This window comes from Homo sapiens, chromosome 3 (genome assembly GCF_000001405.40).
Source record: "Homo sapiens chromosome 3, GRCh38.p14 Primary Assembly".
Taxonomy (NCBI): Eukaryota; Metazoa; Chordata; class Mammalia; order Primates; family Hominidae; genus Homo; species Homo sapiens.
The window spans coordinates 62,445,070-62,462,525 of NC_000003.12; the positions used below are offsets into that span (position 1 = coordinate 62,445,070).

The 17,456-nt window shown below is 41.2% G+C and overlaps 1 protein-coding gene across 50 annotated transcripts in view; it reads right to left on the reverse strand.

Annotated features, from left to right (window-relative positions):
• CADPS (calcium dependent secretion activator) overlaps nt 1–17,456 on the reverse strand; it is a 477,069-nt gene that overhangs the window by 46,722 nt on the left and 412,891 nt on the right. For all 50 annotated transcript variants that reach the window (NM_183393.3, NM_001438352.1, XM_011534199.3 and 47 more), the window contains one exon: nt 696–728. In NM_183393.3, coding sequence (NP_899630.1) covers nt 696–728 — 33 coding nt within the window. The remainder of the gene's footprint in view (nt 1–695; nt 729–17,456) is intronic.

Below are 17,456 nucleotides of genomic sequence, written 5' to 3' on the forward strand. Positions count from 1 at the left end.
TAAATGTATCCTGATTTATCACAGGTAATCCCACACTTTAGCATTCATGTGTTGTACTTAACCTCAATTTAAATGTAAATTTTGGGAAACTTCGAGTGCTTTATCTGTGAACTTTGAGAGCTCTCTTCATTAATGAGGCCTGCACTAAATTATAAGCAGTTTTATGAGGTTTCCTTAAAACAATTGCAGAATTGACCCCAAAATGAACAAATTTAGAATTTATTTGTTTTTTTTATTAGGTTGGTGCAAAGAAATTATGTTTTCCACATTTTTAATTGCAAAACCACAATTAAGTTTTTCATCAACCTAACAAAAAATACTATCACCCTTGTGCAAGTTTCTAGCTTCATGGCTTTCCTCTGAAGGTGTGCACACAGGAGGGTTGGTGAACATGATGAAAACAGAATGAAACAACAGAGAAACCAATGAAAATGAAAGTGAAAGTGAAGTGGGTTTACCCTCAAACAGGACCTTTCTTCCTGATGAAAGAAACCATACCGTCTTCTTATCTGAAAAAAAAATTCTACTACAAAATATTCTTGGCTTCTTTCTGATGATCCAAGTCAGCAACACACAGTTTAGCTAGCAGCAATTAATATGAGTAGCACTATCAAAATTCTCATGAAAACAAAAAGTAAAAATGAAAAAAAAAAAAAACAAAAAAACCCCATGAGAAACAATTTTCAAATACTCACAGGTACATCCACATATTTGGAAGCTGCCTTCACCTAAAGAGGAAAGAAGAGGATGGAAGTGAGGCTGGTGTTTATGTTTAATTGTTCACTGCTCAATGCTGTATCCCCATCAGAATCAAAACAACATGCTGGCACATGGAGCTGACCAGGAAAAACAGAAAGGTACTAGAAAATAAAATCTGTTTGCTATTTTTTCAAGCCATAGCCACTGCTTTGCAGAAAGAGAGAATGCACACGCAAATTTACTGATTCAGATTCTGTTGCTGGAGCGGGAGCTTTACATTTTCCTCCCTCCCTCTGAAAAAAAGTAAAGTGACTAGCTAAACCCACATGGATTAGTCCGGGGCTTACCAGTCTAGAGAAGCAACTAAGATTGCTGTTACTTCTGGTACCTTGGGTCTTTGTGTAATTTGGCTGCAGGTTGTCCTAACTAAATAACTAAAAACCTCAGTTCTCAGCTTTCATTAACTCAGGTTTTTAAGAGGAAGATGGACATCCTCAACCCAGAGGGAGATGGTGTCTGCGGGTAGGGGGATGAGAACCTTTCAAAACTGCCCAAAGGCTGCCGTTATGTCTCCTGCTTTTACGTGCTAAAAATTCCAGATGGGAAGTGCAGGAAGTGGTTATAAAATTTTTAGTTTTGTGGGGAGGGAGTATGGTAGCGTGCTAGAGTGTTATGTTTGAGAGCATGAAGTTTGGAGTCAGATCTCAGTTCGAATCCCAACTCTACCACTTACAAGCTGTGTGACCTTGGGCAAGTTGCTTCATCTCTCTGAGCCTCTGTTACCTCATCTGCAAAATGGAGTTATTATTAGTAATAGTGCTTATTTCCGCAGGTTGATAAGGGTGAATTCACACTTAGCCCCAGGATGTAAATACAGAACAAATGGCAGCTAAGACGATGAATTCATAAGCAAATGTGGGTGAGTTCTGAGTACTGTGAAAAGTCAATGAACAGCTGGGTTTGAGAAATAAAGCCTATGGGAGTATGTTTAATATTCTGTGTGTTTCATTTTGACTCAGGTCACACATGTTTCTCTAGGCACAATTAAGACTAAGGAGCTACATTTGGGGTCAGAGAGGGTTTCCTGTTTTTACTGGGAACTACAAAGACTGCAATGCACAAAAAGCAGTTAGGATGTCTTTTCACATCTCAGCCAGGCTTCCTCCTGCAATTTGGCTGAGATCAATATTAGGAATCAAGCTTCACCCAAATGTCTCCCAGAAAAGTACCCAGGGGAGTGATTTCCTCTGTTGCTCTTTTCTCAATGCTAGTTTCCAAAATGTCAGCTCTCAAGAGAAAACAGCCAATGAACCAATAGGGTGGGGTGGAAAGAGCCCAGAATATAGAGTCAAAAGTTCTTTCAGTGCCAGAACTCGTTGACCCTGGGGAAATCATGCCAAGTTCCTTAGCCTTGGTTTCCAGATTTCTAGACCAAGGTGACAATACTGTGTACTTTGCAGGGCTGAAAGCTTGGTGAAATGAGAAAACGCATGAGAAAGTGCTTTGTAAACTTTAAAGCAAGGAACACACATCAATTAGGTAATTATCGAGAGGGCAATGCATTCTATCTTCTTGAATCATTGCCAGCCCCCAAGACGATTCCTGGAGTCTCCTGTTACAGATTCTCTTAGAACCTTACACTTGTTCTTGCAGCATTGATTGCAATTCAGCCGAAATTTTTTTTTGTGCAATGTCTACCTCCCATATAATGTCATGAGAGCAAAGGCTATCTTGGTCTTGCTCATGGCTGTCTCCTCATTGATTCACCTGGTACCAGCTTAGAAAGGAAACTCAGGGAAAATTTATAGAGGGAAGCAATGAGAGAAAGCTAATGACCAGTTCTGGCCTCAGGATGATTGAGAAGTAAGCAGAGGCAAGATTGCATCAAGGAGCCACGTCACTGATCAGTCTGAAAACCAACATAGTTGTATAGAAAGGTGACTGCCTGCAGAGGCTGGTGGGTAAAGGAGAATACTCTTAGTCCTTAAAGGGATTTGAGGCAGGCTCTCCAGATTTTGCACAATTATCATTTCTACTAAAAGATTCTAAACCCCAAATCTTTCCTCGCCATTGCTATGCTAGAACTTAGTTCAGGAAAGAAGGTGGCTTGCCTTTTTTTTTCATGTCTCCCCCATGTATACTATTATCTAACATTTCTGTGATATTTTTCATTTGCAAAACACTTCCACAAACAGTTTCTTCTTTAAGCCACCCTGCAAAAAGGGGGTGATTCAATCAGATCCGTTTACAATCGAGAACGTAAAACCCATAGAATTTAAGGAATTTATTTGCTCATGATCACAGACAGGAGGCAGAGAAGCCAAGACTCCTATGCGGTCATCTGAGCCCAACTTTCTCCCTTGGAACTCTTGATCTCCTCAATATTGGTAGAAAAGTATGAGGAATTCAAGCATCGGTGGTCAGAGCAGGTGCTAGCAGAACAATTCTTCTCAGCTAGAAATTGCCTCCTGTACTCTGTGATGTTGATGCTTAGCAGTTGGTAGGGGTTTTGTTACAGCTGAAATGAGCAACCTTTAAACACACCATTTACCATTTACTACTAACATGCAGTTACAATCCGGAGAATGACACCAAATTCTATTCCTTTACAGGCAGTTTGGGAAGATGAGGCAAGTTTCTGTCACAAATGAAAATCATCCACTCTCCCTCATGCACCAGCCCTCGGTTTGTTAGGATTGTTCTTTTATTTAATAAATGATGACTTGCACTTAGTCTTATTGATCCTCCTCCCATCCCATAATAACAGGAAAAAATAACCCAGGGTAAATTGTGGTCTATTATTATTTAGAGACATGTGTGTATCATTTTTGGTTCGGGATATTGAACTTTTTTGGGGGGGGGTGGTATGGAGTCTCACTGTGTCACCCAGGCTGGAGTGCAGTGGCGCGATCTCGGCCCACTGCAACCTCTGCCTCCCGAGTTGAAGCAATTCTACTGCCTCAGCCTCCTGAGTAGCTGGGATTACAGGCACCCACCACCACACCCAGCTAATTTTTGTATTTTTAGTAGAGATGGGGTTTCACCATGTTGACCAGGCTGGTCTCAAACTTGTGACCTCAGGTGATCTGCCTGCCTCGGCCTCCCAAACTGCTGGGATTACAGGCGTGAGCCACCATGCCCGGCCGCTGGATATTGAACTTTAAGAAGGACATTGATGATGAGGAAAAGGGGGATTCTGGCAGTATATTCTATAAGGAAAGTGAAAGAAAAGGCATCTTGCCTAGAAAAAGATGGGCTAATTGCAAAGAAAACCATAATATTCATGTAGTTAATTAAGGAGCTTCAGTGCAGGTTTGAATTTGTTCACAATGGTTCCAGAGTATAGAATCAGAATGAATGTGTAAAATTACAGGGCCCTAGAAAAAGGTCTAAACAGCTATCACACTCCAGCCAGGAACTGGCCATTTCTGGTGATAGAGACCTCCACCTCACTGGAGAAGCTCAAACAGAGGCTAGGTAGAAGGCTCTGGACGTGTTTTTCTTTTCTTTTCTTTTCTTTGGATTTGTTTCTTTACCTACATGAGAGTTTATCTCTAGGGCTGCTTTTCATTCTCTGATTCAAGTCCCCTTAGAGGTAGGAAGTTGTCACCAGTTACATTCTTTACAGTAGATAAATGTAGCAGAGCGGAGAAATTGACAGAACCAGGATGAGAATCTTTTCCTGTACAATGTCAGCAGTGCTCCCTTTTTAAGGATCACCTTTTCTTAAGTTATCCATATCCATATCCATAGGAATATGTCTTTTTGCCAGCTATACTCTAGGTAGAAGGGAATGATCAGATCCTCCCAACCCACTAGAGTTTTGGAATTATTGCCAGAAAATCCAAGCATGCACCAGGCACTGTATCTAGATCAAATAACCAACAGCCCTTACCATCTACACAAGGCTATTTTACATTATAATAAGATATTGTTTTGATGAACAAAACGCAAATTTCTTTAAAAGCACTATATAATATAGTAGCTTTTTGTCTTTGTGTATTTTTTTCCATCAATGGTTGTTAAAAGAGTGTGTGTGTGTGTGTGTGTGTGTAATTTTCTTTTCTTTTTTAACTTTAAATCTAGAGAAGTGGCTTACAGAATGGGTTCAGGATTAGCTAGGTTAAAACTCTGGCTTTGCCATTTTTTAGCTTGGTGACTAGCCATTACTTAACTTCTCTGAGCTTCCTTTGTAAATGGGACAGTAATAACGCTACTCAAAGGGTTCAACTAAATGTAGCTGTGCTTATCATCATTACTGGTAATATTGGCTTACCGGTGTAGACAAAGCACATGCTCCTCAGCCTGGTGGTGATAGTCAGTTTCACTCCCCACCTCTGGCCCACGGGCAATTTCTTGCTATAAAAAAGATTCTGGAATCTCCCCAGGTTACCAACAGGTATCTGAGCTGATTCTCAGTCTGGCATACTTTCTGCCAATTCTGTGACACCCTATGCACTGAGAACTCACCCTCTAAATGTTGAGGCTGACAGCAAAGACCTGTTCTCTTTGCTAAGTATGACTGAGTGTGGGCATAAGTGAGAGGGCAGTTCCCCAGGCCAGTGCCCTGGGTTATAATCAACAACACAATCTATTACTCTCCAGGACCAAGCCATAGCCATGTACCCTAGGGCACAGGAGACAAAGGGGAGGGGGTAGGGCTTGCCCCAGATACCTGGTCTGGCATCCCTCCTGAGCAGGTTCTCAACTGCCCTCAAAGGGAGGCAAGAACTGTGACTTCAGCAGAACTTCATCTCCTGGGACTCCCTGCTTTCTGACCATCCCCTCTGGTAGGACAACCCATATCTTTTCTCTAGCAGCATTCATGAACCCTCTTGTCCCCGACTCTCCAGATAGAGCCAGTTCTGGAAAAAGCTTAGAAAAAGAGACACAAATCCAGAGAGGCTGACGGAGGCTAAGGATAAAATTGGGAAGAGCCGCTGTCAGTGAGCAATTGTTCATGTTTTCCTGTGCCTGAAACAAAGAACATTTACTATGTACAGGTACCACATTAGGAGCTGTAGGATGAACGTGCTTGCTCCATGATTTCTGCCTCAACAACCTTTTGAGGGGGATCCTATTAATATTCCCATTTTACAGTTGAAGAAACCAAGGCTAAAAGAGATAAGCAACTTGGCTTGAAGGCACATGACTAATAAGTTACAGCTTTGGACCTCCCATTCCCTAAGCTGCCTATCATCCTATTATTTAGTTTCTTTTTTTAAAAAAACTATGAAACCACTTTTATTAATTAGCTATATTTAAGTCTTAATTTTTTCTTGTAACCTTAAATGGCTTCTCAAAAAAAAAATGTATGAGGGACTTGAATACATTTGAGTCAGTGCAGAAGGTCCAAAATAGTTTCTCTGGCTTGAATGTCCCAGCTAATTACCTCGACCCTCCACCTCACTTAGCCAGTGTAGACAGGCTTAATGGTTTCTCTATTGAGCTCTTCCATTATTTTTCAGGTGCCCAAGGTAATCTTTTCATTGAGCACTCACCATTCTGGGGTTTTCACAATGCTGATGACTAAGGGATTTTCTTCTGCCTGGCCCTAAAAAGGGGACCTGAGTTAATCATTGTGCAGCTTTGATAGGGAGCGCGGCAGGGGCTTAAACCACTTCTTTTGCTTCATTAGGGGAAAAAGCAACCCAGGTGCAGACCACGAGGACCTCAGGGTTTGATACTATTAAATCAATGCACAGACAAAAAAAAAAAGTGGATTAGGCCCTTTTTGCAAACAGAAGTCTGGTGGGTAAGACTCAAAGATGGAAGAAGAAAGAAGTCTGAACAGATACCACCGCATTAGTGACTGCCCGAGCGCCCCATGATCTCTCACAAAAAAAAAGGAAAAAAACAATCAAGGAAATGATTTATTCTCTCCATGAGCTGACTCCACCCCCGCCTGTTTGACTTCACAAGAGCTCTGAGTTAATTTTTTTTGTCCTTTGCCTAGATACTGCAGACCACACCACCACGTCAAAGGGCTAGCAAAATTTACTTCAATGTTTGGCCTTTGAAATTTCTGCTGCAAGGTTAATGATGCTGTTTTGCTCCCTTTTCCACTTCCCTAACCCAAGCAATTTAGAAATGTAGATTTTTTTGTGTGTCAAGGCAATTCAGTATGTAAAAATGTTACTCAGTGCCATGCCTAAAATCATTTCGTCTCCTGTTGGTTTGATTTTTCATCTCTCACCAGCCTCATATCTAGAATGTAGGTGCTCTCTTTCCTTAGTGTCTACACTACCTGGTATATAGTAGTGGCTCAATAAAAATATATTGAATGAATGAACTTTAGAGAATGGCACTCTTTACTCAGTACCCAGGGCAGAGGTTAGAGGTTTCTAGCACTTTCTTACAGTAGGTGTTTGAGCTGTAGCACTCTTATAGGACAACTAAGAAAGTACCACTAGGCATGATCAGTTCAAAAGGCATAGTCCCTGGGCATAGTAAGAACTATGTGCCAGAAATCATTGTCATTTCTGCTGGAAAGTCAGGTTGTTTTAGTGAATTGCACTTGTATATTAAGGTTGGTCTGACCCTACACATGTGGCTCTTTAAATTTAAATAAATTAAAAGAAAATACAAGTAACATTCAACTTTTTAGTTGCACTAGTCGCAGTTGAGAGTACTTGAGAGCTACATAAGGCTAGTGACTATTTTGGACAGCTCAGATACAGAATACTGCCATCACTTTAGACAGTTCTATTGGACAGTGCTGGTCTAGACGCAAGGGACATTCATAAATATAGGTTATTGCATTTTTAAGTGATATGAATTAAGAATTTCTATGTTAGAAAATGAAATTAATTGGAGGAGGAAGCAGGAGAAGAAAAAAGATATGGGTGTCATAGTCTCATTTTGTGGGTGAAACAGGAAATAAAGGTGGATGGGTACAGCTTAAAGTTATAATGGTACCAAGACAGGAAGAACAATACTGTAATAACTGTAACAGAAGGAGAGTGGAGGAGAAGTGGATGATGTAAAGTGAGCTGAAGCTCTATCTATTACAGTAGGGAGTCAAATAATCACTAAGATTGACCAATCAAGAAATGACAACAAAGGCTGGGTGCAGTGGTTCATGCTTATAAACCTAGCACTCAGGGAGGCTGAGGCAGGAGGATTGCTTGAAACCAGGAGTTCAAGACCAGCCTGGGCAAAATAGGGAGACCTCAGTTTCTACAAAAACAAACAAACAAACAAACAAACAAAAAATTAGCCAGGTGTGGTTGTGTGCACCTATATTCCCAGCTACTCAGGAGGCTGAGGCAGGAGGATCACTTGAACCCAGGAGTTCGAAGCTGCGGTGAGCTGTGATCATGCCACTGCACTCCAGCCTGGGAGACAGAGTGAGACCCTATCTCTAAATAATAAGAATAATAAACAATATAATAATAGTACTTAGCACTCCAGGGGTTAAAAAATTGTTAAAAAGTTTCATTTTGAAGGAAGGGATTGAGAGCAGAAAGGACTAGGACAGAGAGCTGTGTTTTTTTAAAAAAAATTATGAATGTTTCTGTACTGTTTCATTTTTTTTAGCCATGTGCCGATATGACTTTCATTAAAAATTATTGAAAAAAGGAACAAAAGTGATAGAATTTTCAATTTTCAATTCTAGTGGAGAAAGGGATTTTGCAGGAAGAATATATCTTTCTCAGGGTGACCTTCTCAAGGTGTTTGGTTGATGAAGTCATGGTTTAGAGGTATGTCCTCTATAAAGGCAAAACCAAAACCTAACAGAACCAACACTCAATACATAATCTGGATGCTCTAAGTGCATCTTGGGAAGATGAATAAATTTTAAGTGCCAACTGAGGGACTGACTGCTTGGGTGAGACAGAATGTGTGAGTGGGCGGATGTACTGGGACTGCGTGTGCGGGTGAGCAGTTGAGCAAACCTCAGTGGCTTCTGCCTGGGGCCAAGTGACAATTACGGTGAAAGCCCCTTCCAATACTTTCTGAGGACTGGAGAAAAACACAACCCTTAAAGTATATCTGGAATCATAGACAGCATGATGGATTCCCAGGGCTCTGTCACCAGAGGGCCTGAAATGTCTTCTTTGCTTACCGAACGTCAGTACTGTGCTGGGCCAGTTGGGAGGCACTATTTCCATGTGAGCACTGGGTCAAATGCTACATGGATGCATATACATCATGAGGCCATTGTCCGTTGCTTCCTTTTATAAGAGGGCCAGAGTTTGTAAATGCCATTTTTACAGAGGTGGGAACTGTGACACCAAAAATTTCTCATAAGTAGCTCACCAGATGTCCATTGCTTGAAAAATGATCACTGGCTTTCAAAATTTGATTCCCATTTGAAAGAAAAGAGTTAAAGTTTGAGATGTTTAAAAAATAAGGTTTCTCTAAGTTGCCTATAAATGGAACCATTTCAGATAATGGAAAAGAGAATACTGACCAAGTCTTGACTCTTACTCCTACTTTCTCAATTAGTGTCTATGTGACCTTGGGAAAAGCAATGAACTACTCAGATTTCTCATGAACAATACAGAAATATTTAATAACTGATAGTCATATATAAAATCAGGATGCATTTACCAATGATTGAACACCTAATTTACAGTATCTTATTCACGTCTTCTAAGGACTTGTCTTCTTCCTTTATGAATGAGGAAACTGGGCTCAGAGAGGTTAAGTTGCTGTCCTCAGGGCACACAGTCAAGAAGTAGCAGAGCTAGGATTTGAACCCTAATGGGTGGGCCTGACTTCAAAGGATTCTGTACTGTATCAGGTTGTCCCTACACTGCCTTTTCACAAGACAATTTAACAAAGTTTGAAGGGAAAAGTCCTACCATGACTGTGGAAGTATTTTGAACAACAAAATGTATTATAATATTAACTGACCGCAAATAAGACCTCATATATAAAACTGTAACCATCAAGGATAATATTCTGAAATGACCTCTGTGAACCACTGCAGAGCTTCACAGAGGGCCATGGGAAAGTGGGAGAGAGCCGAGGTTTTCCTGCAAAGCATCCTTAGGCAAGAACATGAAAACTGAGTTGCAGGGCTACTGGTTGATTGTACGGCTTCTGTGCATGTTCATAAATATTGATTGTGATTAAACTATTATCATAGTAATGAGGGTAGTAATGCCTCCTACAGCCCATCCCACCATACTCCTCAAAGTCCCTACCTTTTATTAAACAAAGGGCTGCTGGCACTGCTGGGGAGTTGGGCAAGAGGCAAGGAAATGATCTCTATTAAGCAAACGCATTCTATTCCATGCTCTGATTAGGAGCCGCAGCCTCATTAACGATGAGAATTGTTCTCATCTCCTGTTGTTCAGGGTACTGTGCTCCGAGACTAGATCCAGGAAGTGTATGTTCTCATCTCCCCCCACCCCCCACCCCCTGGGGCTTCTGAACAGATGCCTGATTGAAGTAGACCTGTTTTTCCTTCCAGTTTTCCTTTTCCTCATTTCTGTCCCAATCCCTCATTCCCAGAGAGGATTTTTCCAAGGCTCAAGGGCTCCCTCAGACCCAGCCTCTTAACACTGCTGATACTTAACAATGGTTGCATGCTTACTCTTTGCCTAGCACAAGGTTAAGCAATTTATAAGGAATTCACCCTCACAATGGTGGGCGTGAAATTCTCATTGCTTACAGATGAGGAAACTGAGGCTCAGAGAGGTTAATCGACTTTTGAAAAGATCCACAACTAGTGACATTATGGAGCTGGTATTTGAAGCATGGTTTCCTTGGACTCCAGGGTTTGCCCTCCTAATGGCCACATTGTATGCTTTTCCATTTTGTTGATTTTTGTGACATGATCTTATTTTAAGAGAAACTTGGAAGTGCAAATTGGAAAGTTTTAATTTTGTAAAATCTCCAAGCAGACATGTAAGCTTATTTTTGCGGATTTTAAGTGGGGGCCCCTGCCCCCTTCTGGCATTTTTGTGTTTTGTTTGCCTTTTGAACATCTCTCAACACTAAGAAGGGTGACAGAATGCAAGCTTGAAGAGGACAAGGGCCATGTCTTACTTGTGTCCCTGGCTTCCACATGGCTTTGGTGCTGAGCAAGTGAGGGCTATATTGTTGTTACTGAATAGTAATGCTTCTGCACGAAGGGGTCACTTGTGACCTCTGGTGTCCTTGACTTTTCCTGCAGGCTGCTTTAGCCTGAATTTGAAGGTATAATTTATGTCACTGCTGCCAGTGACAACTTATCTATCATAGCCTGGGTTTGTAACACAGTGGTTTGGTTTCTCTCTCTCTCTCTTTTTTGTTTTCATTTTCTCAGGTAAAGAGTGAAGAAAACAAGCAATCCCAGGGAGGATTTTTGCAAGGCTCAAGGGATGAGTTAAGAGGTCTGAGTTCTATTAAACTAGCTGTGCAAGTCATTTTCCTTCTCTGGTTTCAGTTTCCGCAACTGCAAAATGGAGTGGCTAGAAAGTATCAGTACTTCCCAGACTTCCAGCATCAATACACCTTCCTGATTTTGGCTGCAACCCATGAACCATCTGTATTATAGTTACTTATTATTCCTCCTTAAACTAGCTCACTTTAAAAATACTTAATTATAAAGGGAAACATGTTTCTACTATAAATGAAAAAGCAATATCACTCTCAATAAGAAAAAAGCCAGGGTGAAAATAAATACAATATAACTAAAATAATGGTAGTAAATTCTGGGTAGACATGGTTGCCTGCTAAGGGTCCTGAGCCTGAAGCCTCCCCGTCCTCTGTTACAAATGAAAATTTGAGATTTTTAGAAAAGTGTGAAAGACAAACAAGCACCAAATGGAAACTTTCTTCTTGACATAAGGATAAAGATGAAAAGAGAATTAGAAAAATAATAACCCTCTCACAATGTGATTGGTCTTGTTTAATGATGAGTTTTTGGAGCATCTAACACCAGTAGCATCTGAGGTCCCATGTGGTACATATCCTGCACTTGGGATATACTCAGTGGTATGCTGGTTTCTGAAAAGCTCACACTCTCTCTCTTCCCTTTCTCTTTATCTATCACTGTCTAAAAAAAAAAAAAAAACCCAATATAATAATATACTGAAATATAAGTAAGATAGTGTTTGCCAATTTCAGTAAAATGCTCCTGCTGTGGTCAGTTTTAGGCTACCAATGTGACATCCCTAACTTCGAACATAGGAAGAGAAATGGAGATCGGCTCTCACCAGCAGGTAGGAGCCAAGCAGACTCTAGCATATCAGTGGAAACATTGAACCAGAAAGTCTAGAAAGTTCCTTCGATTGAATGCACTCTAGACACTAACTTCCAGACAGTAGAGTAAGATTTTTTTTTTAAACCTATCTCTACCACTCTTAGTTCAGCAATTTACATACAGCAGTGGCTGATTGAGTAGCTGATGCTAACATTTGTGCTCAGTGATAGAACTACACTAATAATTACAATAATAACAATGTCTAACAAGTGTCAAATACTTACTCCAATCCACCATTTTCTCATTTAATTCTACCCACACCACATAATGTAGGTCTTATTGTTCCCATTTTACAGATTAGGCAACTAAGGTCAGAGATTAATCAATCTGTCTAAGATTATACTTTAGGAAGTGGCAGAACTGGAAAAATAAGAAACCCCAGTGCACACTGAAATAAACCTGATTCAAACCAAAATATGCTTGGAGAATGAGATATTCAATTCTAGTTAAGCAAACATTTTGATTAATAAAGAGGTGTTTTAGAGACTATGTAAAAACGAAAAATTCTTTTGGCATTAAAATAAAACACAAAATGCTAAAATACACTAAACATAATGGAATATGACTTTGATGAATCAAATTTTTGCATGAAAGAATATGCTAAAATATAAGTCACAAGAGTTTTGATTGACCTTGTCATGGGTAATAGTTTGGATTGCTTACAGGAGAAATGATTGGTATGCTAAGACTGAACTGGTGAGAAAATGGAACCAACCCAAATGTCCATCAATGATAGAGTGGATAAAGAAAATGTGGCACATATACACTATAGAATACTACACAGCCATAAAAAAGGATGAGTTCATGTCCTTTGCAGGGACATGGATGAAGCTGGAATCCATAATTCTCAGCAAACTAACACAAGAACAGAAAACCAAACACCGCGTTTTCTCATAAGTGGGAGTTGAACAATGAGAACACATGGACACAGGGAGGGAAACATCACACACTGGGGCCTGTTGAAGGGTGGGGGACTAGGGGAGGGATAGCATTAGAAGAAATACCTAATGTAGATGACGGGTTGATGGGTGCAGCAAACCACCATGGCACATGTATACCTATGTAACAAACCCGCACATTCTGCACATGTATCCCAGAACTTGAAGTATAATTTAAAAAAAAATTTTTAAAAAAGCACCAGGGTCATGTAAACTTTCTTACAGTTTTGAATAATTTGACAGTAAGGCTAAGAATGGCTATTTATGGAGCACCTACTAACTATATACCAGGTGTTATGAAAGGGCTACTGTTTATCTCTTATTAGCCCAGTGGCTCTCTGAGGCAGCTATCAGCATTCCCACTGTATAGATGAAGAAACCAAGGCTCAGAAACGGTCAATAGCCTGCCTACGTTTCTGTTAGTCTGGGCTTCACAGTCACACCTTTATCTTAATCACTCTCTAACTTTCTGGCGATAAACTTCCCACTGCATGTGATTTGGAGGTCAGGATAGAATCTATAATTAATTTCATGACAACTATTTCCTGTTTGAAGCCATGTACCTATTCATTAGGTATTTCTTTTTTCTTTTTCTTTTTTGAGACGGAGTCTGGCTCTATCACCCAGGCTGGAGTGAAGTGGCACGATTTCAGCTCACTACAACCTCCGCCTCCCGAGTTCAAGCAATTCTCCTGGCTCAGCCTCTCAAGCAGTTGGGATTACAGGCACCTGCCACCATGCCTGGCTAATTTTTGTATTTTTAGTAGAGATGGAGTTTCACCATGTTGGCCAGGCTGGTCTCAAATTCCTGACCTCAGGTGATCCACTCATCTCTGCCTCCCAAAGTGCTGGGAAATACCCATATTCTTTAGGTATTTCTTTTGTAGCTAGCATTTCTGTGACCTGGTCACTTAGACCACACAGTCTGGAGAAAATACTGTGTGTGTCTTATGTTTGCTTTGAATGATATTCAGCTGTTCACTACACAATATTAAGTGAAATAGTTAACTTTGGATACTTATCTTTTCTCTTCTGTAAAGCTTCTGAAGGGTTGCTTCAGACAGCAAGTGTGTTAATTGTTAACTCCATTTTCATGGCATCAACTGGAAATAAGGATGTCCTAGTAGGCAATAAAATGATCTGTCACAGACCCCAAAGGGGATGTCAAATTCTGAAACACTAGGGAGTGGCTGATGAAAGAAACTGATAGAAGATATAGCAGATCAGTGTTTAAGACTTCTCTAACTTTTTAAAGCGCGGTGTTTTTTGGTTGGCCCATATGAACAAAATACATTAGAAAAAATAAATGGTGGCTTCCATTGGAAGGTGGCCCTCAGCTCCAGCATCAGAAGACCACAAACCCAGCTGGCTTATAACAGGGAGCTGGTCTCTCTGTGACCTCGCTTAACTTCTCCAGCTGAATTGATTTTGCTAAATTCCCTGCTGAAAACGCTGGAAGTCTGTACCATAGGCAAGCTCCTTCATGATCAGGCTCCTGCACTGATTGCTCTTTAACTCCATGCCTGTCATTTTTCTCCTTCTGGCCTGGCCTTTCACAAGGAACGTCTAGTTCCTAAAATTTACTAGATCTTCCCTTTCACCTCCAGGTCTTTCTATCTTGGAATACTCTTTGTTCTCTCCTTTGCCAAGCAAAACTCTACTTATTTTTTAGGTCTCAGCCCAAATGTCATTTCCTTCAATGGTCTCCCAGATGAGGTTGGGTCCCTTTGGTCCATAGTTACACTGCACTGGCTACTCTCTCTTTCTGAGTAATCACCATGCTTGTAAACTACCCGTTGAGAATATGTATCTCCCTCATGCAAATGTCCAATAAACAGCATTGTCCATCTTATCCATTGCTAACCCCCCCAGTGTCTAGCACATAGTAGGCACTCCATAAACAGGTATAGAATGAAGGACTAATGTAAAATGAATGATTATCTGGACAGCACAAAGGAAGTGGAGAATTTTGAATGTCTATTACTTCAGTACTACGGTAAAATAGCTGGCTGGTGAGTAAAATCTTTATAAATTATTTTTGCTGGTAATATATGAAAAATAGATGACTCTTTCCCTTAGAAGTAGTATCAGCTAGTGGATAGTTTCTGGAAAAGTCACTAATTGACTTCACCTACAGATTTCTGTGTATATATGGGGAATAACATTTTTGTAATAATAAAGGAGCAATTTAGGGTAGAGTCTTAATAACTATGCGACTTTGACAAATCACTCACCATCACTTATCTATAAAATGGGGATGCTAATTAAATCAGTTGCATAGACTGATTGTGAGGATCAAATGAGAAAATGCATGCATACACTTAGCACAGTGTCCGGCACATAGTATGTGTTCAATAAACGCCAGCTACTACTACCACAGTTGGTGCTTCTGTCCAAGGCAGACACCTCCACTCTGAAATATAGAAGCCAATTGACTTAAAAATTACATGTATTTGGCAGTGAATAATCTGGTGATGTTACCCTCTGGAGGGTGAACCAAAACCTCTGTCTGCATCACTCATCATCAACCCACACTGTAAAAAGCCGTCTCTCCTACCCTGGACATTCCCTGAAGCCAAAGCATAAGTGAAATGCCATCAGAGAAAATACTAACAAACTCTGAGGAATATTCACCCCACTCTAGAATTCAGACTGCCTCTTAACAAAAATGTTCTGTGAACAGAAGTGAATGTCATTGATTCAGTTTGGGCTTTAGACCCAGGTGGCATTCTCGTTCTAAGGCATGGCATCAAGAGCTCTGCACAAAAGCAGTCAATGCTACTGATTTACACAAACGTCTCGCAAATTCTAGTGGGGAGAAACATATCTGTTTTGTTTCATTTCCAGGTGGCAAGACAATCAAAATGCTGGCAAAAGGAAAACAGGGTGAATGAGAGTAACTTAAGACAAAGAAGACTGGACATACGGTAGGTTTCAGGCCCTTGACAGCCCTAAGATAGGCTTTATTCTTCCTGTTGTGAGTGGCTTCCATGTTGTGTTGTGACCACCTCAAATGGATTTATTTGATCGGAGGAGGATGTCTGAATTCTAGGGGACTTGAGAAGACTTGATATAAAGTTCAGACAGAACTTGATAAGGTTCTGTCTGCTTTGAGATGGGGCCTGGGCTACTCCTACATCTTTATTCCTCTGCAGGGGCCCCAGGGTTTAGTGAAGGAAGAATTCACGTGAGCTGGGGGGAGCTTAACCTTTCCAAGCCTTAGTTTCAACATCTGCAGAAGAGTGTTGTTGGAATGGGATTGTTCTGAGGATTCAGCAGGAAAAATACATTTAAAGCACATAGCTTTGTGCCAGGCACTTAGCAAGTGTTTAAGGAATAGGAGCTGTAGCTCTTATAGTTATTTTAGACTTCTGAATTCATCTAATATAACCATCATCATATTACACTGAAGGAGATTAAAAGCCAAGATGTGGTACCTTGTTCCAGGTCACACAGCTCCTTGGTAAGGGGCAGAGCTGGGTTACCATCCCAGTCTCCCTACCCTGTGCTGTCTTTTTTACTGTACTCCATGGACTCTCAGGACTCCTAGCTCAGCTGAGCTCTCCGGTATATCATAGTTCTCGGGCTTTCCACCTTTGCCCTCTCCAGTCAAGTCTCCACCCCCAACATTCACTTAATCCCTAAACCGTGTTTATGTGGCCTCCAAAATATCCACAGAAGTGCCTCCTGCTTTCCTGCCTCCTGGCTAATGCAGCTGCTATTTTGTCCAGAAGATTCTCCCCTCTTCTGTATCCATCGCTGACTCCTTCAAGCTTGAGAGCTTAAGTCGCTCATGTCCTCTGCAGAGAGACCTTGCCTGAGCATCCTGACTAAAGTAATATCACCTCCCCGCTTTCTCTTGCTCTCCAGTTTATGTCCTGTGGAAATGCTTCTCCCACCGGATAATTTTCTTTCATTTTTAATTGCCTGTCTCCTTTACTAAATGTAAGCTCCCAAAAGGGCCGAGAACACACCTTTCTAGCTCGTTGCTGTGTCCCTAGCACCTAGCACAGAACATGACACATAGGTGCTCAGTAAATAGAAGTTGAGTAAATGAATGAATGAATTCCAGAACCAGCATATTTGTTAACACTTGCAGAGGACAGAGGAAAGCATTGTCACTTTCTGTGGGAGGAACCTGGGTACCTGCTTGCCCTCTTCTTGGCCTCCTAAAAGAACAGCGAGTGGCTACCCACAAGACAGGGACCCTTCCAAACAGGCATCCCACGCAAAAGCACATCTTGTAGTCAAGGGAAATGGGCAGATAGTTGCTAATTGCGTCTTCCAACTGGGCTGATCTTTCAAAAGTTCGAAAGGCGCCTGCCTCCATAAATCCCAGGCTGCTACTGCTGCTGAAGCTGGTGAGGGAGGAGAGGAGGGTGCGCTTGGGCGCCTCTCGGGCTGGCACGAAGAAGCCACATCTCATCCTCCCTCCTCCCTCCAGCTCCTCTCCAAGAGAGGAAGCAATGCAGATGGAGACGAGAAATAAATATTCCTGCCTGCTCCGTGCCACTGCAGACGTTTTCCAAAATGTCTGGCTTGGACCATGAAACAAGCCCACCCAGGAAAGGAGGCGCTCAGCGGGAGAAAGAGGGGGAAAGGGTGGCATATTTGTCGAT